This window comes from Homo sapiens, chromosome 3 (genome assembly GCF_000001405.40).
Source record: "Homo sapiens chromosome 3, GRCh38.p14 Primary Assembly".
Lineage (NCBI taxonomy): Eukaryota > Metazoa > Chordata > Mammalia > Primates > Hominidae > Homo > Homo sapiens.
The window spans coordinates 129,124,154-129,150,237 of record NC_000003.12 but is presented as its reverse complement, the minus strand read 5'-3'; the positions used below and the strand labels follow the sequence as shown (position 1 = coordinate 129,150,237).

General features: G+C 46.7%; 2 protein-coding genes across 3 annotated transcripts in view; both read left to right on the top strand.

Moving 5' to 3' along the window:
• The window catches only part of ISY1 (ISY1 spliceosome associated protein), a 33,649-nt gene extending 10,826 nt beyond the window's left edge, over positions 1-22,823 (top strand). The window contains exons 6-12 of one of the 2 annotated variants that reach the window (NM_001199469.2): positions 4,365-4,477; positions 9,753-9,870; positions 13,042-13,107; positions 15,284-15,406; positions 16,043-16,164; positions 19,602-19,688; positions 20,050-22,823. In NM_001199469.2, the coding sequence (NP_001186398.1) occupies positions 4,365-4,477; positions 9,753-9,870; positions 13,042-13,107; positions 15,284-15,406; positions 16,043-16,164; positions 19,602-19,688; positions 20,050-20,157 (737 nt within the window). In that variant the 3' untranslated portion in view covers positions 20,158-22,823. The remainder of the gene's footprint in view (positions 1-4,364; positions 4,478-9,752; positions 9,871-13,041; positions 13,108-15,283; positions 15,407-16,042; positions 16,165-19,601; positions 19,689-20,049) is intronic. The other variant, NM_020701.4, reaches the window with a different exon arrangement.
• Positions 1-26,084, top strand: part of ISY1-RAB43 (ISY1-RAB43 readthrough) — a 73,492-nt gene that overhangs the window by 10,826 nt on the left and 36,582 nt on the right. Inside the window, exons 6-11 of the mRNA NM_001204890.2 lie at positions 4,365-4,477; positions 9,753-9,870; positions 15,284-15,406; positions 16,043-16,164; positions 19,602-19,688; positions 20,050-20,150. Of these exons, the coding sequence (NP_001191819.1) occupies positions 4,365-4,477; positions 9,753-9,870; positions 15,284-15,406; positions 16,043-16,164; positions 19,602-19,688; positions 20,050-20,150 (664 nt within the window). The remainder of the gene's footprint in view (positions 1-4,364; positions 4,478-9,752; positions 9,871-15,283; positions 15,407-16,042; positions 16,165-19,601; positions 19,689-20,049; positions 20,151-26,084) is intronic.

Below are 26,084 nucleotides of genomic sequence, written 5' to 3'. Positions count from 1 at the left end.
ATTTTTTGTTTACATTGACATTCTATGTCTGAAATTTAATTGGAAAGGCAAAGGAACTAGAATAGCCAAAACAATTTTGAAAAGGAACAAAATTGGAGCATTCATTCCACCTGATTTCAAGATGTAATAGAAAGCTCCAGCTTCCAGATAATGTGGTATTGGTGAAAGGACAGGGCACATAGACCAAAGAAACAGAATTAGAAGTCCAGAAATAGAGCCACACATAAATGGTCAGTTGACTTTTTCTTTTTTTTTTTTTTTTTTGAGATAGAGCCTTTCTCTGTCACCCAGCCTGGAGTACAGTGGTGCAGTCATAGCTCACTGCAGCGTCCACCTCTTGGGCTCAAGTGATCCTTTTGCCTCAAACTCTCATGTAGCTGAGACTGCAGACGCATGCCACCATGCCTGGCTAATTTTTTTCTTTCTTTCTTTTTTTTTTTTTTTTTTTTGAGTTGGAGTCTTGCTCTTTCGCCCAGGCTGGAGTGCAGTGGTACGATCTTGGCTCACTGCCTCCAGGGTTTAAGCGATTCGCCTGCCTCAGCCTCCCAAGTAGCTGGGACTACAAGTGTGTGCCACCATGCATAGCTGATTTTTTTTGTGTATATATATATATATATATATATATATTTTTTTTTTTTTTTTTTTTTTTTTTTAGTAGAGACGGGGTTTCACTGTGTTAGCCAGGATGGTCTCCATCTCTTGACCTCCTGATCCACACACCTTGGCCTCCCAAAGTGCTGGGACTACAGGCGTGAGCTGCTGTGCCCAGCATGCCTGGCTAATTTTTTTTTTTTTTTTTTTTTTTTTTTTGAGATAGAGTTTTGTTCTTGTCGCCAGGCTGGAGTGTGGTGGCGTGATCTCAGCTCACCACACCTCCACCTCCCGGGTACAAGTGATTCTCCTGCCTCAGCCTCCCAAGTAGCTGGGATTACATGCATGTGTCACCATACCCAGCTAATTGTATTTTTAGTAGAGATAGGGTTTATCCTTGTTTGTCAAACTGGTCTCGAACTCCCAACCTCAAGTGATCTGCCTGCCTCGGCCTCCCAAAGTGCTGGGATTACAGGTGTGAGCCACTGTGCCCAGCCCTGCCTGGCTAATTTTTAAGTTTTTGGTAAAGATGGGCTCTTGTTATGTTGCCCAGGCTGGACTTGAGCAGTCTTCCTGTCTGTGTCTCCCAAAGTATTGGGATTACAGGCATAAGCCACTATGTCTGGTTTGGTCAGTTGACTTTTGACAAAGTTATGAAAACAATTCAATGGAGAAGGGGATGACAAATAACTCTTAAAAATTCATCGATTAGAAAATATAATTTGTTTTAAGAAGTGGGCAAAATTTTGAACAGATACTTTACCAAAGAAAATATGTAGGGTGGGCATGGTGGCTCACGCCTGTAATCCTAGCAGTTTGGGAGGCCGAGATGGGTGGATCACTTGAGGCCAGGAGTTTGAGACCAGCCTGGCCAACATGGCAAAATCCCATCTCTACTAAAAATAAATACAAAAATTAGCTGGGTGTGGTGGCTCACGCCTGTAATCCCAACTACTTGGGAGGCTGAGGCATGAGGATAGCTTGAACCTGAGAGGCAGAGGTCGCAGTGAGCTGAGATTGTACCACTGCACTCCAGCCTGGGCAACAGAGTGAGACTGTCTCAAAACATAAAATAAAATGTAGATGCAAATGAGCATCTTTTCATGTGTTTAACATAATAGTCATAAAGGAAATGCAGATTAAAACAACAGTGGGATACTACACACTTAATAGAATGACTTACACAAATAGTGACCATGCCAAGTGCTGGTGAATATGTGAAGTAATGAACTCTCATGCACTGCTAGTGAGGAGGCAAAATGGAACAGTTACTTTAGAATGGGGTTTGGTGGTTTCTTATAAAGTTAAACATACACTTAACCTATGATCCATCAATTCCACTCCTAGGTATTTCTCCAAGAGAAATGTAATACTTTTCTGTTACACAAAAACTCATACATAATGTTTATAGTAGCCCCAAAACTGGAAGCAACCCAAAGGTCCTTCTGGTGAATGGATAAACAAACTGAGGTGTGTCTATAAAATAAAATAATACTCAGTAGTAAAAACAAACATATAGGCTAGGCACCGTGGCTTATGCCTGTAATCCCCAGCACTTTGGGAGACCAAGGTGGGAGGATCGCTTTGAGTCCAGGAGTTGGAGACCAGCTTGGGCAACATAGTAAGGCCTCATCTCTGTAAATAATAATAATAATTAAAGTAAATAAAATTAAAACATATCGATGAATAAATAAAAATAAAAAAAATAAATAAAACATTTCAACTCAGCCTAATGCTGAGTGAAAGAAACAAAACTCAAAATACTGCATAATTTTTGATCCATTTATATGATGTTCTGGAAAAGCAAAATTATAGGAACAGAATAAATTGTGTTTACTGGTGGCCAAAAGTTGGGTAGGGGGAGGGGTTGACTATAGTGATGCATAAGGGAATGTTTTGGGGCGATGGAACTTTTCTGTGTCTTAATTATGGTGATGATTACATGATTATATGCATTTGTGAAAACTCACATAATTGTGTACCAAAAAGTATTGTTTTTATATGTAGATTTTGGAAAGTCAATAAAAAAAATAAAACTTGTGATTCTTGTTTTCTCCAAGATGCCTTGGCTTTGCTTTGGGAGAGGCTTCTGGAATCCTCTCCCTTTGCTTTGGTTGAGGCCCTCAGAGGATTGGGCTGCCTTGAGTTCTCTGTGTCTTTAGCACTGGAAAGTCTCACCATGGTGGTGGCAGGTCTTTTTTCTTTCTTAATAGAACAGAACGTGGGAGTGGGAGGTTCTAAAATGTATTTTTTTTATTTTTTTATTTTTTGTGAGACAGTCTTGCCCTGTCACCCAGGCTGGAGTGCCCTGGCGTGATCTTGGCTCAGTGCAACCTCTGCCTCCCAGGCTCAAGCTATTCTGCTACCTCAGCTTCCTGAGTAGCTGGGATTACAAGCGTGCACCATCACTCCTGGCTGATTTTTGTATTTTTAGTAGAGACAAGGACTCCCCCATGTTGGCCAAGGCTGGTCTCGAACTCCTGACCTCAAGTGATCTGCCCTCCTCTGCCTCCCGAAAGGCTGGGATTACAGGTGTGAGCCACCGCACCCAGTTACAATATATTCTTACTTGACTTTTTTTTTTTTTTGAATGGCGGTCTCACTCTGTCACCCAGGCTGGAGTGCAGTGGTGCTATTACAGCTCACTGCAGTCTCCACTTCCTGGGCTCAAGCGATTCTCCCACCTAAGTCTCCCAAGTAGCTGGAACCACAGGCATGTGCCACCACACCCAGTTAATTTTTCATATTTTTGGTGGAGATGGGATTTCACTATGTTGCCCAGGCTAGTCTTGAACTCCTGAGCTCAAGCAGTCCACCCACTTCTGCTTCCCAGAGTGCTGGGATTACAGGCGTGAGCCACTGCACCTGGCCTGTTTGACTTTTTTAAAAAAATAGACTATCCAGGCAAGAATTACATGTAATAAAATTCCCCCGTTTTTAATGTAGAGTTGGATGAGTTGCAGCAGATTTTTATACCCGTGAAAGCCACCACCTCCACATGCAGTATCCATCACCCCTAGAAGTCCTCTCATGCCCATCTTCTAGAGCATCAGTCTTAGCTGTAACCCAGGTGTAAGAGCCCTTCTGGACTTGCTGTTGTCATCCAGCATTACCTCATGAAGGCCTTGCTGTGTCTCCACTGTGTGCAAATTGTCCCTTTCAAAAGTTATATGATGTTTCATTTCAACATATTAGGGTTCATTAACCATTTTCCTACCTTCTCTGTGGTGTGATGCCCCAGCTGCACCACAGTGAAATTTGTTGTGTACATCCCTTTCAATTAATCCCTTAGGCATAATTCTTAGCCCTATAGTCCTTGCCAAAAATTTTTCCCATATAGCAATACATTGCTTTCCTGAAAACGCTAAACCATCATAGAATGCTGCCATCCCTGGGTGCGTATCCCAGCCTCATTGTGTCTTTGCTGGCCTTAGTTGCTGTTTCCCCATCTCTCTTAAGAGCTTGTTATTTCAGTAGTTTTATAAATGGAACTGCTGGGTTGTTTCAGGGTTGTTTATATTTTTTTGGTTGCTAATGAGAATGAAGTTATTTTCAAGGATTTTTTTTTTCTTACGCTAGTGGGAACTCTGTTTATAATTCTTGTCCTTTCATTTATTTGGGTGGTTTTTCTTATCAATTTAGATGAGTGTTTTTATGTAGTATACCTTTGTAGGTGTTGACATTCATTTTAAGGATATGATACTAAGTGTACGTGTTAGAGGTGTTGACATTCATTTTTATGGAATGATATTGTTAACCTTTTTGTTTTCTAGCTGGTTTAGGTGAATTTCGAATTCGTGACCTGAATGATGAAATTAACAAGCTGCTAAGGGAGAAAGGACACTGGGAGGTCCGGATAAAGGAGCTGGGAGGTCCTGATTATGGAGTGAGTACATGGCAGCCCCAGTGGCGGGTCTTGTCTAGTTTTCCACCCACAGCAGTTCCCAGCTCATTCTTGCCATAGTAGTCGCTTGATACAGGAAAGCTATGAACAGGATGGGTAGGATGATGCTGGAAGACCTCACAGCACATGCATCACAGCAGACGGGGCATCTGTATGTACCAGCCAGAAGGCCTTGTGGAAGCTGCTTCATCTCTCGGCCTCGTGTTTAAAATGACCATGAGCCCGGGCATGGTAGCTCACTCCTATAATCCCAGCACTTTGGGAGGCCGAGGCGGGCAGATCACTTGAGGTCAGGAGTTCAAGTCAAGCCTGGCCAGTATGGCAAAAGCCCATCTTTTCTAAAAATACAAAAATTAGCTGTGTGTGGTGGTGCACGCCTGTAATCCCAGCTACTTGGGAGGCTGAGGCAGGAGAATCACTTGAACCTGGAAGATGGAGGTTGCAGTGAGCCAAGATCGCCACTGCACTCCAGCCTGGGCGACAGAGTAAGATTCTGTCTTCAAAAAAAAAAAAAAAAATGACTATGGTCCTTCACTGGGTGCAGTGGCACACACCTGTAATCCTAGCACTTTGGGAGGCTGAGACAGGATAAGCCCTTGAGCACAGAAGTTTGAGACCAGCCTGGGCAGTGTTGTGGGACCCTGAATCTACAAAATATTTAAAAATCAGCTAGGCATAGTAGCACATGCTTATAGTCCCAGCTGCTCAGAAGGATGAGGTGGGAGGATGGCTTGAGCCTGGGAGGTGGAGGCTGCAGTGAGCTGTCATCATGCCATTGCACCTCAGCCTGGGTGCCAGAGCAAGATGCTGTCTCAAAAAAAAGATAAAATGAGCATGGTTCCTCACATTCTTTAAGTGCCTTAGGAACTGGAGACAGCTATTTGTTGGCTTTGTTATCTGAGAGCCATAGAGACACTACATTCTGTCCTTTTTTTGGACTTCTATAAATGCAATACTCTAGAACCATAGCTTTCAAACTTTTAAGAACATGGCTCATTGTAAAACACACACAGACACACACACACACAATCACAAGCCAGCACACAAAGGTGCTGAAAAAAACAATAAGTATGGTATATTTTTTATTCTGTTCTATTTTGGTTTTTAAAAATTTGATGTTTGTGACCTGCTTAACTGATTTCATGATGCACTAATGGGTCTTGGTTTTGAAAACTCCTGCCCCAGAGCCTAATTCGTTCACACTTTTGTGATGAGACCTACCTCAGATCACTGGAAACAGTATGTAATCAATGGACTATAATGTGTTATATAAGAAACACATGCAGTTTTTCTACGTGTTGATCTTTTCACCTTGTGAAAGTCTAACACATAACCATAATTCTTACCCTAGTACATACAAATGGAGTATTCAGCCTTCCCACTGCAGAAGAGGAAAGGCACTCCCATTTCTGAAGCACCTTTTGTGTCTGGGCACTGCACTAGGAGACTTCTCTTGGGTGTCTTGCCTAACTTCTTTTTTTCTTTTCATTTATTTTATTTTTGCTGTTTTTTATTTTTATATGCCAATCTTCTCTGTATCATTCCGATTTTAGTATATGTCCTGCCAGAGTGAGCCCTTGCCTGATCTCTTCAGCAGTTGTGTGGTGGAGATTTTATTTTTCCTGTGAGGCAGCTTAAAAGCAGCTCATTAATCCACCTAGAAAAGTGGTCTCAGGTATGAAAAAATTCGTATGTGAAATGTTAAGTTCCACCACCCAAATTCAACACTATTAATATTTTTATATATTTTTTCCAGAGATTTTTAATGCTTAATAATTTTATTTTTATTTTCTACATATAAAAGTAATATATTACCACTAAGTTCAGAAAAGTACAAAGAAGCAGAACAACACTCAGTCACAATCCCATTACATAAGTGCAGCCACTTGAATATGCTCTTTATCTTTTTTCTCCTTCCGTTGTTTTTGTATGAATGTCATAATTGAAACCATACTCACTGTATGTACAATTTTGGTTCTGGATTTTGTTTTTCTTTTCAAAATGGTAGCTTTCATTATATAAACAGTACATATTTTTGTGCAGAGAAAAAATATAAATATAAAAATTATAAGATATAAAAAATACATATTAGTATATACATTATAGAAATTCATTAATATTCTATGTGCTTTATTCTCTAAACTGTACAAGGAATACAGTTTCGTGTCAATAAATAATCATATGATAGATATGTATATTGTTTTATTTTATTCTAGTTTAGTTTTTTTTTTTTTTTTGAGACAGAGTCTCGCTTCATCACCCAGGCTGGAGTGCAGTGGTGCGATCTTGGCTCACTGCAACCTCTGCCTCCTGGGTTCAAGCAATTCTTGTGCCCCAGCCTCCAGAGCAGCTGAGATTATAGGTGTGCGCCACCACACCTGGCTAATTTTTATATTTTAGTAGAGTTGGGGTTTGACCATGTTGGCCAGGCTGGTCTCGAACTCCTGACCTCTGGTGATCTGTCCGCCTTGGTCTCCCAAACTGCTGGAATTACAGATGTGAGCCACTGCACCCAGCCTCTTAGTTTTTGTGACAAGATTTTACTCTGTCACCCCAGGCTGGAGTGCAGTGGCACGATCATGGCTCACTGCAGCCTTGACTCCAGGTGCAAGTAATCCTTTTACCTCAGCCTCCTGAGCAGCTGAGATGACAGGTGTGTGCCACCATGCTCAGCTAATTTTTGTTTTTGCGACGGAGTCTCGCTCTGTCACCCAGGCTGGAGTGCAGGAGTGTGATTTCGACTCACTGCAACCTCCCCCTCCTGGGTTCAAGCGATTCTCATGCCTCAGCCTCCAGAGTAGCTGGGATTACAGGTGCCCACCACCACGCCCAGCTAATTTTTGTATTTTTAGTAGAGACAGGGTTTCACCATGTTGGCCAGGCTGGTCTCGAACTCCCTACCTCAGGTGATCCACCTGCCTTGGCTCCCCAAAGTGCTGGGATTATAGGTGTGAGCTACCGTGCCTGGCCATGCCCAGCTAATTTTTAAATTTTTTGTAGAAATGGTGTCCCATTATGTTGCCCAGGCTGGTCTTGAGCTCCTGGAGTCAATCAGTCATCCTGCCTCAGCCTCCCAAAGTACTGGGATTACAGGCATGAGCCGCTGTGCTCAGCCAAATTGTATGATTTAAAAAAATGTTTTTTAACTCAAAGAGCATTGCAAAAATATACAGAGAACTTTTATATACCCTTTATACAGATTTACCAGTATTTAACATTTTGCTTGTATTTGCTTTATTTTCTTTGTGTACCTTGAGATTTATTTTTTGTGAACCACTTGAAAGGTAGGTTACAATACATCATGCTTCTTTACCCTTTAATATATGTGTATTTCCTAAGAAGAATATTCTCTTATGTAACCATGGTAGAGCTATCAAGTTTAAGAAATTTAACTTGGCTACAATAATTGAATCCATGTGGCATTTCATCAGTTTTCCCAATAATGTCCTTGGTAGCATTTCCCCTGCAGTACAGGACCTGATCTGGGGTCACATACTACATGTAGTTGTCAAATCGTCTTTTTTTTTTTTTTTTTCGAGACAGAGTCTCGCTCTGTCGTCCAGGCTGGAGTGCAGTGGCGTGCGATCTCAGCTCACCCTAACCTCCGCCTCCCAGGTTCAAGTGATTCTTGTGCTCCAGCCTCCCAAGTAGCTGGAATTACAGATGTGCACCACCGTACCCTGCTAATTTTTGTATTTTTAGTAGAGATGGGATTTTACCATGTTGGCCAGGCTGGTCTTGAACTCCTGACCTCAGGTGATCTTCCCGCCTTGGTCTCACAAAGTGCTGGGATTACAGATGTGAGCCACCGCACCCAGCAAATCATCAGTTTTAATAGATATAGTTGTATCTTCTGGATATATTTCATTTGTTTTCCACTAATTGTCATATAGGTTGTTTGTAATCTTTTTAAAGGTTTTGTCACTTAGCATCGTGTTTTTTATCTTTATTTATTTATTTATTTTTTAATTATTTTATTTTATTTTTTTGAGACGGAGTCTTGCTCTGTCACCCAGGCTGGAGTGCAGTGGTGTGATATCAGCTCACTGCAAGCTCCGCCTCCCAGGTTCATGCCGTTCTCCTGCCTTAGCCTCCTGAGTAGCTGGGACTACAGGCGCCCACCACCATGCCTAGCTAATTTTTTGTATTTATAGTAGAGACGGGGTTTCACCATGTTAGCCAGGATGGTCTCGGTCTCCTGACCTCGTGATCCGCCCACCTCGGCCTCCCAAAGTGCTGAGATTACAGGCGTGAGCCACTGCGCCCGGCCTAGTTTTATTTATTTTTTTTGAGACAGGGTCTTGCTCTGTCACCCAGGCTGGAATGCAGTGGCACGATAGGTGTGTGTCACCATGCCTGGCTGATTTTTGCATTTTTTTGTAGAGACAGGGTTTTGCCATGTTGCCCATGCTGGTCGTGAACTCCTGGCCTCAAGTGATCTTCCCACCTTGGTGTCCCAGAGTGCTGGGATTACAGGTGTGAGCCACCGTGCCCAGCCCATAAGTGTTTTTTATTTATTTATTTATTTATTTATTTATTTATTTATTTAATTTACTCCAGCCCTGGCTGGAGTACAGTGGCACGATCTTGGCTCGCTGCAATCTCCACCTCCCAGGTTCAAGCAATTCTTCCTGCCCCAGTCTCCTGAGTAGCTGGGATTACAGGCATGTCTCACCACACCCAGCTAATTTTTGTATATTTAGTAGAGACAGGGTTTTGCCATGTTGCCCAGGCTGGTCTTGAACTCCTAAGCTGAAGTGATCGCCTACCTTGGCCTCCCAAAGTGCTAGGATTACAGGTGTGAGCCACTGCATCCAGCTATTATCTTAAAATATATTTGCAAACATGGAAATAGTGGGTTTAAAGATCAGATCTGCCAGGCGCAGTGGCTCACGCCTGTAATCCCAGCACTTTGGGAGGCCGAGGTGGGTGGATCATGAGGTCAGGAGTTCAAGACCATCCTGACCAACATGGTGAAACCCCGTCTCTACTAAAAATACAAAAATTAGCCAGGCGTGGTGGCACGCACCTGTAATCCCAGCTACTCAGGAGGCTGAGGCAGGAGAATCACTTGAACCCAGGAGGTGGAGGTTGCAGTGAGATTGTGCTACTGCACTCCAGCCTGGGCAACAGAGCGAGACTCCACCTCAAATAAATAAATGGGCAACAGAGCGAGACTCCGCCTCAAATAAATAAATAAATAATAACTAACTAACTAACTAACAGATCCATTTTCTCTTTTTTTCTTCCCAATAAGAAAGTTGGCCCTAAAATGCTGGATCATGAAGGAAAAGAAGTCCCAGGAAACCGAGGTTACAAGTACTTTGGAGCAGCAAAAGATTTGCCTGGTGTTAGAGAGCTGTTTGAAAAAGAACGTAAGTAAGTTTGTGACAGTTTTAGCCTTTCATTGGTAATAATCATAAGAGTAGATATGCTATATGCTAACTGCTCTTACTTTTTTTTCTTAGTTGCATAACAGCCTTATAGTGTAGGAATTATTGTTCCCAGATTTTAACTGAGAATTCTTAAGAACTGGGATAGAATCATAGGCCCATGCCATACAATTGGGGCTGGAAAGTGTGCCCAGGATTGGCTGGTGCAGGATTCTGCCTTTGGCAGGTGCTAATCTGTCAGTCTGGACAAGGAGTTTCCCTATTTGAAGTTTCCCAGAACGATTGGGGCAGGCTCTGAAGTTCATTGAATCAGGTCATGTTTCAGTTACTTATTAGTTGAACAAATGATAACCAAAGAACAAATACAATCTTGGGCCAAACCCTAAATGTAAAAATGGAGAAAAGTGAGGCCCAGCACTGTGGCTCATGCCTGTAATCCCAGCACTTTGGGAGGCTGAGGTGGGCGGATCACCTGAGGTAGGGAGTTAGAGACCAGCTTGACCAACATGGAGAAACCCCGTCTCCACTAAACATACAAAATTAGCTGGGCATGGTGGTGCATGCCTGTACTCCCAGCTACTCAGGAGACTGAGACAGGAGAATTGCTTGAATCTGAGGGGTGGAGGTTGCGGTGAGCCGAGATCGTGCCATTGCACTCCAGCCTGGACAGCAAGAGCGAAACTCCATCTCAAAAAAAAAAAAGGAGAAAAGTGGAGCTACTTTTGTGTGAATCCAAATAGGGCACACCCACCTTTCCTCCTTCTTTCAGCCAAACCTCCTGAATATAATTTGAAACTGTTAGTCTGGAGTTTTAGTCGGTTTTGATTTTGTGTTTTAGAAAGGTAGTCAACACTTCATAGGAAAAAGTATGAGAGGCAGAGAAGAATGATGCCAGTATTTTCACCATTATTAGCATTTTGTTATATCTCCTTCTAGTTGGCTTTTCTATTTTAAAAAAAATATAGTTCTATTTTTATTAAATGCTGCTTATTTTAAAATTCATTATTCCACAGCTAGTTTTGCATAGGCCACTACCATCCCTTAAAAATAATTCAGAGTTTAAATATTGTGCCATTAATTATGAAGGAATATATTTTTTACTACAGAGGAGTTATAGCCAGGCGCAGTGGCTCATGCCTGTAATCCCAGCACTTTGGGAGCCTGAGGCGGGAGAATCACAAGGTCAGGAGTTCGAGACCAGCCTGGCCAACATGGTGAAACCCTGTCTCTACTAAAAATACAAAAAAAATTAGCTGGGCATATGGCAGGCACCTGTAATCCCAGCTACTCAGGAGGCTGAGGCAGGAGAATCACTTGAACCTGGGAGGCAGAGGTTGCAGTGAGCCGAGATCGTCCCACTGCGCTCCAGCCTGGGCAGCAGAGCAGGACTCCATCTCAAACAAAAAAAAGTTATAAAATACAGAAAATCAGAAAAAAACCACTCACATTTTCACACCTCATATGTGATGATTGTTAATACATTAGGGCATTGTTCCCTCCAGTTTCTTTCTTTCTTTCTTTCTTTTTTTTTTTTTGAGATGGAGTCTTGCTCTGTTGCGCAGGCTGGAGTGTAGTTGTGCAATCTCGGCTCACTGCAACCTCTGCCTCCCGGGTTCAAGTAATTCTCCTGCCTCAGCCTCCCAAGTAGCTGGGACTACAGGCGCATGCCACCATGCCCAGCTAATTTGTATCTTTTTTTTGTTTTTGAGATGGAGTCTCGCTCTGTCACCAAGGCTGGAGTACAGTGGCCCAATCTTGGCTCACTGCAAGCTCCACCTCCTGGGTTCACACCATTCTCCTGCCTCAGCCTCCTGAGTAGCTGGGACTACAGGCATCTGCCACCATGCCCAGCTAATTTTATTTTTTTTTTGTATTTTTAGTAGAGACGGGGTTTCACCGTGTTAGCCAGGATGGTCTCGATCTCCTGACCTCGTGATCCACCTGCCTCAGCTTCCCAAAGTGCTGGGATTACAGGCGTGAGCCACCGTGACCAGTACTAATTTGTATTTTTAGTAGAGACAGGGTTTCACTGTGTTGGTGCCAGGGTGGTCTCGAGCTCTTTTTTTTTTGAGATGGAGTTTTGCTCTGTTGCCCAGGCTGGAGTACAGTGACGCAATCTCGGCTTACTGCTGCAAGCTCTGCCTCCCAGGTTCACGCCATTCTCCTGCCTCAGGCTCCTGAGTAGCTGGTACTATAGGCGCCCGCCACCATGCCCGGCAAAGTTTTTGTGTTTTTTTAGTAGAGACGGGGTTTCACCATGTTAACCAGGATGGTCTCAATCTCCTGACCTTGTGATCCGCCCGCCTTGGTCTCCCAAAATGCTGGGATTACAGGCGTGAGCCACTGTGCCCAGTACTAATTTGTATTTTTAGTGGAGACAGGGTTTCCCTATGTTGGCCAGGGTGGTCTCGAGTTTTTTTTTTTTTTTTTTTTTTGACATGGAGTCTTGCTGTGTTGCCCAGGCTGGAGTGCAGTGATGCGATCTCGGCACACTGCTGTAAGCTCTGCCTCCCGGGTTTACGCCATTCTCCTGCCTCAGCCTCCCGAGTAGCTGGGACTATAGGTGACCGCCACCACGCCCGGCAAAGTTTTTGTATTTTTTTAGTAGAGACGGGGTTTCACCGTGTTAGCCAGGATGGTCTCTATCTCCTGACCTCGTGATCCGCCCGCCTCGGCCTCCCAAAGTGCTGGGATAACATCCCACTGCTCCCGGCCGGTCTCAAACGCTTGATGTCATGATCTGCCCACCTCGGCCTCCCAAAGCGCTAGGATTACAGGAGTGAGCCACCTCGCCTGGCTGTTCCTTCCAGTTTCTAAAGGGTTGTGTTGGGGTGGCTCCTATATTGTGATTATGCTCTATATGTTAGGTTTTTTGCATTTACATTTTTCTAAATATATTTTTGCTTATTCCAGTGATAGAGTTTTGGGTTTTTAAATTTATTTTTCCTTTTTTGTCATCTATTGAAAAGATTTTTGTTTTAGAAAGAAAATGCATAAGTGAATTTTACTGGTTATAATTCAAATAGCACAGATAGAGTTAAAGTCCTCTTACCTCTACACTCATCCCAGTGCCCCTCCTAGAGGTAACTGATAACCATTATTATCTGTTTGGTATGTTCCTTTCCGGCCTTAAAAATTTTTTTATTTTTTTAGGCCAGGTGCGGTGGCTCATGCCTGTAATCCCAGCACTTTGGGAGGCTGAGGCGGGCGGATCACAAGGTCAGGAGATCAAGACCATCCTGGCTAACATGGTGAAACCCCGTCTCTGCTAAAAAAAAATACAAAAAATTAGCTGGGCATGGTGGCGGGCACCTGTAATCCCAGCTACTTGGGAGGCTGAGGCAGGAGAATGGCGTGAACCCAGGAGGCGGAGCTTGCAGTGAACTGAGATCGCGCCATTGCACTCCAGCCTGGGCAACAGAGTGAGGCTCTGTCTAAAAAAATAAAATTAAAAAATAAAAAATAAAAAAAAAAAGAAGAAGAAAATACAAAATTAGCTGGGCATGGTGGCAGGTGCCTATAATCCCAGCTACTCGGGAGACTAAGGCAGGAGAATGGCGTGAACCCAGGAGGCGGAGCTTGCAGTGAGCTGAGATCACGCCATTGCACTCCAGCCTGGGTGACAGAGCGAGGCTCTGTCTTTAAAAAAAAAAAAAAAGAAGAAGAAGAAAATACAAAATTAGCCGGGCGTGGTGGTGCGTGCCTGTAATTCCAGCTACTCAGGAGGCTGAGGCAGGAGAATTGCTTGAACCCAGGAGGCGGAGGTTGTGGTGAGCTGAGATTGCGCCATTGCACTCCAGCCTGAGCAACAAGAGCGAGACTCCGTCCCACAAAAAAAAGAAAAAAACATGCTGGGATTACAGGCATGAGTCACTGCACCTGGCCAGCTTTTATTCTTTCACCAATCTGGTTGGTTGTCATTTTGTTTTTCATTTTTAATAATTACTTAGCCGGGTGCAGTGGCTCACACCTATAATCTTAGCACTTTGGGAAGCCTAAGCGGGTGGATCACCTGAGGTCAGGAGTTCGAGACTTGCCTGGCCAACATGGTGAAACCCCATCTCTACTAAAAATACAAAAATTAGCTGGGTGTGGTGGCGGGTGCTTGTAATCCCAGCTACTCGGGAGGCTGAGGCAGGAGAATCGCTTGAACCCGGGATGCAGAGGTTGCAGTGAGCCAAGATCATGCCATTGCACTCCAGCCTGGACAAGAGCGAAATTCCATCTCAAAAAAAAAAAAGAATTACTTAAATATTCTGGATTGTAGTCCTAGTCTGAAAATATCTTCTTTAGGGCTTTCTCATGTATCTTTTTTGTTTGTTTCTAGCTTCTTTTGTCTTTTTTATTTACTTATGTTTCCTGTCATGCTTTTTCATTAAACATTATGACAGTTCCTGTGTTATTAAAATACTTTGTGAAATAGCATTACAGGGGCTGCAGGATATCCCATCCCATACATATTCTGCAATTTACAATCATAGGTTATTCCCAAGTTTTCTCTATTATATAAATAATACTGTGATGCATATTTCTGTACATGAAGCTTTTTGCTATCTCGTGTTTGGTTTTTGTTTTTTTTTTTTTGAGATGGAGTCTCGCTCTGTCGCCCAGGCTGCAGTGCAGTGGTGCAGTCTTCGCTCACTGCAACCTCTGTCCCCTGGGTTCAAGCGATTCTCCTGCCTCAGCCTCAGGAGTAGCTGGGATTACAGGGGCCCCCACCACCATGCCTGGCTAATTTTTGTATTTTTAGTAGAGATGGGGTTTCACCATATTGGCCACGCTGGTCTTGAACTGCTGACCTCGTGATTCTCCCGCCTCGGCCTCCCAAAGTGCTGGGATTACAGGCATGAGTCACCGCACCCGGCCTGGTTTTGTTTTTTACTTAGGTAGATTGCTTTTAAACGGACAAATGGGTCCAAGTACTGATTTTAAAAAGGGCTCTACCACTTAAATAATTCCATGAATAGTATAGAAAAGTGTCTATCCATGGTATTTTCTTTTTCTGTGTGATGGAGTCTTGTTTTGTCGCCCAGGCTGGAGTGCAGTGGCGTGATCTCGGCTCACTGCAAACTCTGCCTCCTAGGTTCAAGCGATTCTCCTGCCACAGCCTGAGTAGCTGGGATTACAGGTGCGCACCACCACGCCCGGCTAATTTTTGTATTTTTAGTAGAGACGAGGTTTCACCATGTTGGTCAGGCTGGTCTCGAACTCCTGACCTTGTGAGCCACCTGTCTGGGCCTCCCAAAGCGCTAGGATTACAAGCATGAGCCACTGCGCCCACCTGGTATTTTCATGAACATACGTGCCACGTGTGTGTATAGCGTTGCATCAGGAGACAGCTTCGCTGGAGTGTGATTATGACTTGGAAACTCAGCTCCATTTCTGTTTCTTATAGCTCTTCCTCCTCCCAGAAAGACACGTGCTGAGCTCATGAAGGCAATCGATTTTGAGTACTATGGTTACCTAGATGAAGATGATGGTGTTATTGTGCCTTTGGAACAGGAATATGAAAAGAAACGTAGGTCTCTGGGCATTTTATTTCATAATAGATGGCATCTGTTTTCTGTTGTGTCCTTTGAAAACAGGATTTTCAATAGTGCTTTATGCCAGAAGGGAGTTTTCTTTGTTGCTAATGATCTTCAGGCGTGATGGTCTGCTAATTCCCTGACCCCTGTGAGGCAGTCAAAGCTGTGTGGGCCAGAGGTAACAGGTTGGGGAAGCCATGAGAGCCACGTCTGACCGGTCCCTGTCTGCTAGGAGGTCACCATGTGGATTCGTGCTAATACCAGTGCCCATGTGACACATCAGGCCAGGACTTTGGAAGCAAGTGGTCTGGAGCTGGAGCTGCTTTCTAGCATGCTCTGCCCCTGCCTTCTCTCTTTTCATGTGGACATGTTGGGAATCCACTCAGGTTGTGGAAGTGGGGAGGATTTGGGAATGTTCCCTAAAAAGCTGCTTTGTAGTGACTGAAGGCCAGAGCTGTTGTAGGACTACCATGCTTCACATCCATTTCCACCCACGGGGGCAGAATGAAGGGTGTCCCTTTCTAGAGGGGATGTCTAGACTTTCCCTGCATAGTGTTGGCCTTTCCCTGCATAGTGTTGAAAGCTCATTTAGAGACAAATAAATAGCACCTACCCTCTCTTGTGTTCAGTCAGAGCCGAGTTAGTGGAAAAGTGGAAAGCAGAGAGAGAGGCTCGGCTGGCAAGAGGAGAAAAGGAAGAGGAGGAGGAAGAGGAGGAAGAGATCAACATCTATGCAGTCACCGAGGAGGAGGTATTGGGGTTGGCCCCCTCTGGCACTCACTGCCATCTGTTCCAAGCCATGAAGTGTGGCAGGGAGGAAACTTGGCTCCCAAATACAGAGTCAGGGTTCACAGCCCAGCTTGCTCACCTGCAGGATGGCTGTGAAAACACTTGCGAGATTACAGGAGGGTTTCAGGAGGCAGCAGCCATGAGAGTGCCCTGCCGGCCGTGCTTTACACCAGGGCTTCCTTCTTTCCTTCTTAAAGACAGGCCCTTCTGCATACACTAGAATTAGACTGATAAACACAGAGGAAGCCATGAGCTTTAGCCCATGACCTCATCACTTCTGTTCACGTGTCAGTGGCAGTTGCTCTTCTGTAGTCTAACACCCCCATCTTTTTTATTTTTTTTGAAACGGAATCTGGCTCTGTTGCCCAGGCTGGAGTGCAGTGGCACAATCTTGGCTCACTGCAACCTCTGCCTTCCGGGTTCAAGCAATTCTTCTGCCTCAACCTCCCAAGTAGCTGGGACTACAGGCGAGTGCCACCACGCATGGCTAATTTTTGTATTTTTAGTAGAGACGGGGTTTCACCATATTGGCCAGGCTGGTCTCGAACTCCTGACCTTGTGATCCACCTGCCTTGGCCTCCCAAAGTGCTGGGATGACAGGTGTGAACCATTGCTCCCAGCCCTAACACCCCTGTCTTACACATGGAAAGAAACGCAGAGCAGAGAAGAAACTTTCTTAGAGGGTCATGGTTGGGGAATCTTTGCATATTTTCAGACCTTTTGCATATTTTCTGATCTTTTGCATATTTTCTGATTTATAGGAAATACTCATTATATATCTTAGTTATTACTTTTTATTATAGCCACCATGTAAGTAATCTTGACATATCTGTCTGTGCTACACCTTTTATTTTTTCTATGAAACATTACCAAAACTTCACTGCATTAAAGGAGGTATTCTGAAACAAGGAAAATTCAACATTTGAAATCTCTGCCTCCCAGGCAGAGCTCTTCTGCGGGGCCCTATATTTGGAGTCCTTGCTGCCTGCACAGGTCTAGGTGGATCTGATTTGCTGGACTGAGAGAAGGGAGGGGATCACCCACACATGGATGATGGCTCAGGTTCCACATGAGGAGCTTGCTGAGACATCACTGGTGAAGAAGCAGGCTCAGGTTTAGTGACTTAATGTCACATGGGATATAACAGGCCTGACGTTCCTGCTCATGTCCAGCTGGGCCAGCACTGGGGTTCAGTGCAGGTCTGAAGCAGGATGGCAGCATGCCTTAGGAGGATTTCCTCTAGGTACAAATATTCATTTGCTCTCTCAGCAGGTGTTTAATTCATGGCTCCTGTGAGCCAGCCGCATTCCAGGTGCAGGGGCATGGTGGTACAGAGGCTTGGAGTGTAGCTCATAGTCCAGGGGGAGGCAGTCCAGTAAGAGAGACAGTGAGCAACAGTCCCTCAATAGAGCCTGGTGCAGGGACAGCCTGCAGACACTCTGCTGGGAAGCTAAACCCTCAGCTGAGATTAGGATGATCCAGCGAACTTAACCAAGGAAGGAGGAGATGAGAGAGGGCTCCCAGCAGGGGCGCATCATGTGCTGAGAGATCCTGTGATGAGTGTGAGAGACAAAGGACAGCCCAGTGTGCTGGAGTGCAGAGAGTGGGTGCTGGGTGTGAGTGGAGGCTGATGGGGAGCTGGCGTTGTGGGGAAGAGCAGTGGAAACCCACAGCAGAATTTTTTTTTCTTTTCAAATAATTATAGAGATACAGGAAGTTGCAAAGAGTACAGAGAGATCTTGTGTATGCTTCACCCAGTTCCCCCCAGTGGTTGTATCTCATGTAGTTCTAGCACAGTAGTAAAACTGGGAGGTTGACATTGGCATATTGAGTGTGTGGAGTTCTGTGTCATTTGTCTCCATGTGTGGAGATCCATGTGGCCATCATGACAATCCAGATACAGAACTGGCCGGGGGTGGTGGTCACACCTGTAATCCTAATACTTTGGGAGGCTGAGGTGGGAGGATTGCTTGAACTCAGGAGTTCAAGACCAGTCTGGCAACACAATGAGGCCCTGTTTCTACCAAAAATAAAAACAATTAGCTAGGTGTGGTTGGACATGCCTATAGTCCCAGCTACTCAGGAGGCTGAGGTGTGAGAATTGCTTGAGCTCAGGGGGTTCAGATTACAGTGAGCTGTGATTGCACCACTGCACTCCAGCCTGGGAACTGTCCCCTTACTACAAAGATCCCTGGTGCCACCCCTTCACAGTTCACACCTCCCTGTCCTCACCATCTCTTCTCCTAGCTGAACCCTAACCTGTTCTCCATCTCTGATTTTGTCATTTCAGAATGTTTTATAAATGGGATCATGCTGTGAGTCACCTTTCACGATGGCCTTGACACTTAACATGATGCCCTTGCCATCCCTCTGGTTGTTGAGTTCAATAGTTCATTCCTTTTCACTGCTGAGTGTTGTTCCATATACAGAAAAGTACACACCTGCTAAATGTGTAGGTCACTGGATTTTCACAGGGTGAACACACACACACATAGCAAATACCAGTGAAGAAACAGAACAGGACCACAGCGCCAGAAGCTCACTACTGCCTCAGGGGTCACCCTCCTGACCTCTTGTGACCCATATATTTCACTTGTGTCTGAACTTTACATATGTGAGTCGTGTGTACTCTTTTGTGTCTAATGTTTGTGGGTATTTGTGTTGTGTCCAGATTGGGGTTTTGGCAGATAGGGTTGCTGGGAATTTTCTTGTTCCCGTGCAGTGTTTCTCTTGAGTACATGCTGAGGAGTGGAACCACCAGATCAGGGTAGGTATGTGTTTAGTGTTAGATACAACCAGTTTCTCCAAGTGCCAGCAGTGGATGAGAGGTTCCTCAAGAGGCTTTTGAAGCCATCCCCACTGGGAGCCAGTCAGGGAATGGGTCGTGCACGGTGTCTGGCAGAGCCCAGCAAACAGTGGACTCCTGACTCGCCACAAGACCCCTTCTCTCTTTCCAAGTCCGTGGTGTTTTCTTTGTTATTAGAAATTTGTATTGACTCATAGGCAACCTCTGAGCTGATTATTTTTCTATGCATGGTACATTCTTTTACATTTAAATTTTTTAAAATAGTGATACATTCACAAGGTTCAAAAGTGAAAAAGAATATAAAGATATTCCACAAAGATTCTCTTTCCTCACCCTGTCCCTCATCTACCTTGGTCTCACTGCCGTCAGTAATTTCTATTCTTATTTCCTCCTTAGACAAAAGGTAGCATAATATACAGCGTGTTCTATGGCTTTTTTTACTTAATCTTGTGGGTCAAGTGTCTTTCTATAAGTATAGAACTTTCTTAGTTTTTTTTTCTTTTAAATAGTTGCAGAGTAGTGTGTTTTATAGAGTTGCCAGCATTTATCTAGCTGGGCGCCTACTGATGGACTTTCGTTTGTTCTGTTTGTAGTCGGACGAGGAAGGCAGCCAGGAGAAAGGAGGGGACGACAGCCAGCAGAAGTTCATTGCTCACGTCCCTGTTCCCTCGCAGCAAGAGGTAGGACCACAGCTAAGAGCTGCCTGGGCGCCGGGGGCTTCTCTAAAGCAGACTTCACAGAGCACTGTAGTGGGTTTTCGTTGTCCTTCCTACCCATCAGGGCAGCTCAGGGTCCTGACCACATGACACCTGTCATTGTGTTCAGGGTGTGGGGTCCAAAAAGGGCAGGACCCTCTGCTCTAGGCCATTCTATCGTTCAAATGTTTCCAATGGGAGGGAGTTAGGACTCTTGGAGACTATTCTGCGTATTTAAATCAGACTCCTTGATGGACTTCTCCCACGGGGACTTCCTCCTGGCTGGGTCTGGCAGGGGTTGAGGGGCTTTGCTGAGGAGTGAGCCCTGCACTCTTAATTTCCACAGATTGAGGAGGCACTGGTGCGAAGGAAGAAAATGGAACTCCTCCAGAAGTATGCAAGCGAGACCCTGCAGGCCCAAAGTGAAGAAGCCAGAAGGCTCCTGGGGTATTAGGACCCAGCTGGGGCTCTCCTTGGAGTTCTTCCATCCCCCAGTGGTACCTCAGGACCCAGGGCTGCAGACACAGGCTGGTGCTGCAAGGGCTCCTGCCCCATTCTCAGCCTTCCTTCCCTCTCCTTGTCTCATGTTGACCGGAGGGTAGGGGTCTGTCCCTGGTCTTCCTGGTAGGTTTTGTACACATATTTTGCTACTGTGTGGATCCATTTATTTTTATTGTGGAGTGTATACAACAGGTTGCGAACTGGCTGCCTGTGTCTTATTTTGACTTGCACTGCCATTTTGAGGGGAGAAGAATCAATTAGTGGCAAACATTTAAAAATGCAATTTTTTGCAGACCAAAGTATAATTTTAAAAAATGCAAATTTTCTAAAAGACACATCTCTTGAAAAATGAGATGATGTGGCCAGGCGCAGTGGCTCACGCCTGTAACCCCAGCACTTTGGGAGGCCGAGGCGGGCGGGTCACGAGGTCAAGAGATGGAGACCATCCTGGCCAACATGGTGAAACCCCATGTCTACTAAAAATACAAAAAAATTAGCTGGGCGTACTGGCATGCACCTGTAGTCCCAGCTGCTTGGGAGGCTGAGGCAGGAGAATCACTTGAACCCGAGAGGTGGAGGTTGAAGTGAGCCAAGATCGTGCCATTGCACTCCAGCCTGGCGACAGAGTGAGACTCTGTCCCAAAAAAAAAAAAAAAAAAAGATGCACGCAACCCACAAGTCAATGACCAGGTCCCTCTGTGTTGGTTGCTGCTCTGGGCTCTCCGTTAGCCCCCCTCCACCTGCTCCACTCGCTCCTGCCTGGGTGGCAGGAATTTGAGTTTGCTATTCCTGTTTTATAACCTGTTCTGCAGAAACCTATTTTTATTAAAGATTTTTATAAGAAAGGGAAACCTCCATGTCTTCAGCTTGTTCCCTGGGCCAACGGCTCTGAGGTGACAGTGGCATTAGGATGTGACCAGTCACTAAGGGGCACTGCCTTCCTGCAGGGGAGTCCCTGAAGCCCCAGCCCCAAGTGTGGCAAAGACAGGACCAGATCCCAGGAGTCTAGGTGGGAGTGAGCCGACCCACCATGGCGTCCGTGGCCACAGCTGTAGACAGGGCTCCTTGCAGTGGGCTGCACCGTGGCCTGCTGAAAGCACACAGTGGACACGAGCTGAGTCCAGAGCTTCCTCTGAACTGGGGCTTAGCTCTCCAGTGGGGAACCATGGTCAGCGGCTGTAGCCCCTGGGCAAGATGGTGCCTGGCTTCCTGCCCTCTGCAGGGTCATGGGAGTGTCTGGGAACTCAGGGTCAGGGCCAGATGGCTGTTCCTGGGGCCTGGGGCTCCAGCTCAGGCTGTTTGGGAATAGGAGGAACTCTTGGCTTGGAGAAGCCCATCACACAGCGGGAGGCCTGGGATGGTTGGTCTGCGGGGAGCAGCTCAGACTGGGGGTGGCAGAGCCGTGTGTGGCTGTGTGTGGCCAAGTCGGGAGAGTGGCCAGTGCTGGGCCCTCTCTAAGGAGCCCGAGGGCCACAAGGACTGTGGAAAAGGTCTGAGTGAGGGAGTCGGGAGCTAGTGGCTAAGGGACTTGCTTGAGGACGCTCCGTGCGGCCACAAGGAGAGGCCCAGGCAGGACCAGGTCAGGAGGAGGCTGGGGCAGAGGCCCTGGCAGGAGGTGGGTGGGCTTGGTGGGGATGGGAGTAGCCAGGGTGTAGGTGAGGATGGGGAAGGGGCCCCCCTGCCTCCTGGCTTCCCTGAGGGCTGGGCTGGCCAATCCCAGCCCTCAGTCAAGCCCGGAGGCAAATGTGTGCAGGGAGGAGAGGTGTCCAGGTTGAAGCTTTGGGAGCCCTTGGAGGCAGCAAGGCAGACTCGCCTCTGGGACCCAGCACCCAGCTTGGGCCTGCAGGTGGGGACTCAGGAGTGAATATCGTGGGGGCTTTGAGCAAGACCCTCTGGGCCCAGCCTCACCTTCCATACTTTGAAGTCAAGGAGTGGACCTGTGCTGTCTCAGTTTGCTCTGGGGTCTGGGCAGTCCTGTGGTTTGGGCAGAGGCCTCAGAGGGCCCTAGGGACAGACTGACCCAGGTCTGAGCCTCTTGGGAGCGTGCGGATGGCCGGCCTCAGACAGGCCTGGTTGTGGGTTTGTCTTCCAAGGGGCACACGCGCACTCTGGTGCTTCCTGGCATTCAGAAGAGAATGGGGAATCCAGACATCAGGCCTTCCTTCTCCCTGGGAAGGATGGCAGGTGCTTGGAGCCAGGCCTGTCTTGAGAGCCAGGGCTCTGGGTCTTCCTCCTCCAGTGCCCTGTTCCACGCCTTCAGTGCACAAAGCACTCCCCTCCTGGGATCTCTTCAGGGATCCCCGGGATGCAAACTGGCCAGGGATTAGAATTCCACATTTGAGCAAACAGACTGAGAGTGGAGAAGCACCCAGCTGGACATCCTCTAGGTGTTCCTGGCAGAGGCCCTTGCTACTTGTCTGTGCCCAAAGGCCCTAGAGGGTCCTAGATGTGGGACAAGGTCTCAGCAGGGCTCCAGTCCCAGGCCTGGAAACAGCTGGGGGTGGGGGAAGCTGGCTGGGTGGGTGTGGTTATCTTTTCCCAGCTTGTGGCTCCGAGGTGACAGAACCAATCTCAGGAGGCTTTGTTTGGTTAATAAAATCTACTGAATGGTTTATTTTAGCTTTGGCTCTGCCTGTGGTTTCCCGAAAAGCTACTTTTTCATAGTCATGTTTCCATCAACTTCCTTCTTCCCTCACACTGCCTGTCCTCCAGCGTCTAAAACACACCACCTCCCTCCTGTTTTGCTTTAAGACTGGTCACAGCATCCCCACCCAGGCCTCCTGGACCTCCTCCCGCTGCATCCCCAACTGGCTGACCCCATCTGCCCTTGGGCAGTTTATAAACAAGGAAGAAATGAAAACCTTTCTCCTCTTGCCCTGCACTTGCTCTGCAGTGCTGCGCATGCACACCCCATTCCCTGAAACACTGGCAGGATCTGGACCCTAGCTGGGGCTCCTCACCCTGCTCACTGTGCAGCACTGAAAGCAGGAACCCGCCTGGATGGACATCAGGCCTGGCCCAGCACCCAGCTGACTAGCAAGCAGAGGGATCCAGGGGGACGGGCAGCGGCACCCAGCTCCTTCTGGCATCTCACTTGCTGCCCACCTGCTCCACCAGAAAGGATGCAGAAGGCAGTGTCCGTGGAGGGCTGGCCTGGCACTCTGAATCCTGCTTCTCTGCCGCAACTCGTGGGGCTTTTAGCAGGTCATGCAGTTCCTGAGCCTGGGTTCTCTTTCCCACAAAATGAGCCGTGGAGAGGGCAGAGTTGTTTACAGTTCTCTAGCTGGGCCAGGGTAGAAGTCTGTAAAAAACTGGTGTGTTTGAGGGGCTGGAAAGTCAGATGAGGGGCTGAGGGGAGATGATGTTGGGAGAAGAGGAACCTTAAATGTGTGCGTGTTCCTGAGGGTCTGGGACTTCGCACTGAACTTGCTTGAGCAGGGGATGCCTTTGTAAGGTCCCTTCTAGCAGCAGATGGGGTGAGGGTAGGGGTTGTGCTGGGGGCACTAGAAACAGACCAGGGAGGAAGCCAATCTGATCCTCTAGGGGATGGCTGGGTCTGGTCGGGGGCTAGCAGTAGAGGTGTGAGTTCGGGTGCTGACCCCTATATTTTGAGTCAGATCCTCAAGTGTGAGACCAGTGCCATCAACAGAAGCAGCGAGAGTGGAGGTGCTCATTTGCCCGTGTTTATGATATTTTGGGATTCTGGGAGGAGAGAGTGGGTGCCTGCGTTTTCTCTGGTCACCAGGTGAGTGCAGAGGGCTGTTTATGGAGGAGCCTTTCCAGCCAGCAGTCAGCACCAGCCAGAGCACTGAAGTTTATGACTGCTGTAGCCGATTGTGCTTTATTCCTACTTTTAATTTTCAGAGTCCAGAGTGCTCACCATTACAACACGGAATCTCACAATCCTACTTTTAATTTTGTAATATTTTGTAGCAAGCACCCCTCTGTATGAAAGACACAGGGTATTGTGGTTGGCATCTGGCCTTCATGGTGTTTTTTCACTTGGGGGCACATTTTCAGCACTAGCCTTGGCATCACCACATAAAGAAAATTTGGGGCCGAGCGTGGTGACGCACACCTGTAATCCCAGCACTTTGGGAGGCCATGGCAGGAGTATCATTTGCTTGAGCCCAGGAGTTCAAGACCAGCCTGGGCAACATAATAAGACCTCTACAAAAAATAAAAAAATTAGCTGGATGTAGTAACGCACGTCTGTGGTCCCAGGCCTGTGGCCGAGTACAAGAGGCTGAGTTGGGAGTATGGCTTGAGCCCTGGAGATTTGAGGTGGCAGTGAGCCGTGATTGTACCGCTGCACTCCAGCCTGGGCAACAGAGGAAGACGCTGTCTCCCCCACACCCCTACCCCCCCAAAAAAAGAAGAAAACTTGTCTGATAGTGTTGTAGGTTTATATTTTAATAATGGCAAGTGTAGAAAGAAAAAGATGAAAGGAGAAAGAAGGAAGGAGAAAACCAGGTACGAATGTCCCTTTAGCCACTTGGAGGAGGTCTGATCCAGGGAACATTGCCAGTATGGGATACCCTCTTTATCATCTGAGATGGTGCCACTGCATGGCAATGACACAAACAGTTAAAATGCATTCAGCTCACCCACCACTAGCTTTAAGAATGTTAAATTCTTGGCCGGGCGCGGTGGCTCATGCCTGTAATCCCAGCAGTTTGGGAGGCTGAGGTGGGTGGATCACAAAGTCAGGAGATTGAGACCATCCTGGCTAACACAGTGAAACCCCGTCTCTACTAAAAATATAAAAAATTAGCCAGGCATGGTGGCTGGAGCCTGTAGTCCCAGCTACTCAGGAGGCTGAGGCAGGAGAATGGTGTGAACCCGGGAGGCGGAGGTTGCAGTGTGCAGAGATCGCGCCACTGCACTCCAGCCTGGGCAACAGAGTGAGACTGTGTCTCAAAAATAAAATAAAATAAATATGTTTCTTGGCCGGGCATGGTGGCTCATGCCTGTAATCCCAGCACTTTGGGAGGCCGAGGTGGGCGGGTCACCTGAGGTCAGGAGTTCAAGACCAGCCTGGCCAACACAGCAAAACACTGTCTCTACTAAAAATACGAAAATTAGTTGGGTGTGGTGGCACACGCCTGTAATCCCAGTTACTGGGGAGGCTGAGGCAGGAGAATTGCTTGAGGTTGCAGTGAGCCAAGATCAGGCCATTGCACTCCATCCTGGGCAACAAGAGTGAAACTCTGTCTCAAAAAAAAAGTTAAATTCTTGACCAATTTTTTTTTCTTTCTTTCTTTTTTTTTTTTTTTTTTGAGACAGAGTCTCGCTCTGTCGCCCAGGCTGGAGTGCAGTGGCATCATGTTGGCTCACTGCAAGCTCCACCTCCTGGGTTCACGCCATTCTCCTGCCTCAGCCTCTGAGTAGCTGGGACTACAGGCGCCGGCCAACACACCCGGCTAATTTTTTGTATTTTTAGTAGAGACGGAGTTTCACCATGTTAGCCAGGGTGGTCACGATCTCCTGACCTCGTGATCCGCCCATCTTAGCCTCCCAAAGTGCTGGGATTACAGGCGTGAGCCACCGTGCCCGGCAACTAAATTCTTGACCTATTTTAAAAATTTTGCAATATAGGCCGGGTGCGGTGGTTCACGACTGTAATCTCAGCACTTTGGGAGGCCGAGGTGGGTGGATCATGAGGTCAGGAGATCGAGACCATCCTGGCTAACACGGTGAAACCCCGTCTCTACTAAAAATACAAAAAATTAGCTGGGCATGGTGGCGGGCGCCTGTAGTCCCAGCTACTCGGGAGGCTGAGGCGGGAGAATGGCGTGAATCCGGGAGGCGGAGCTTGCAGTGAGCCGAGATCGCGCCACTGTACTCCAGCCTGGGTGACAGAGCGAGACTCCGTCTCAA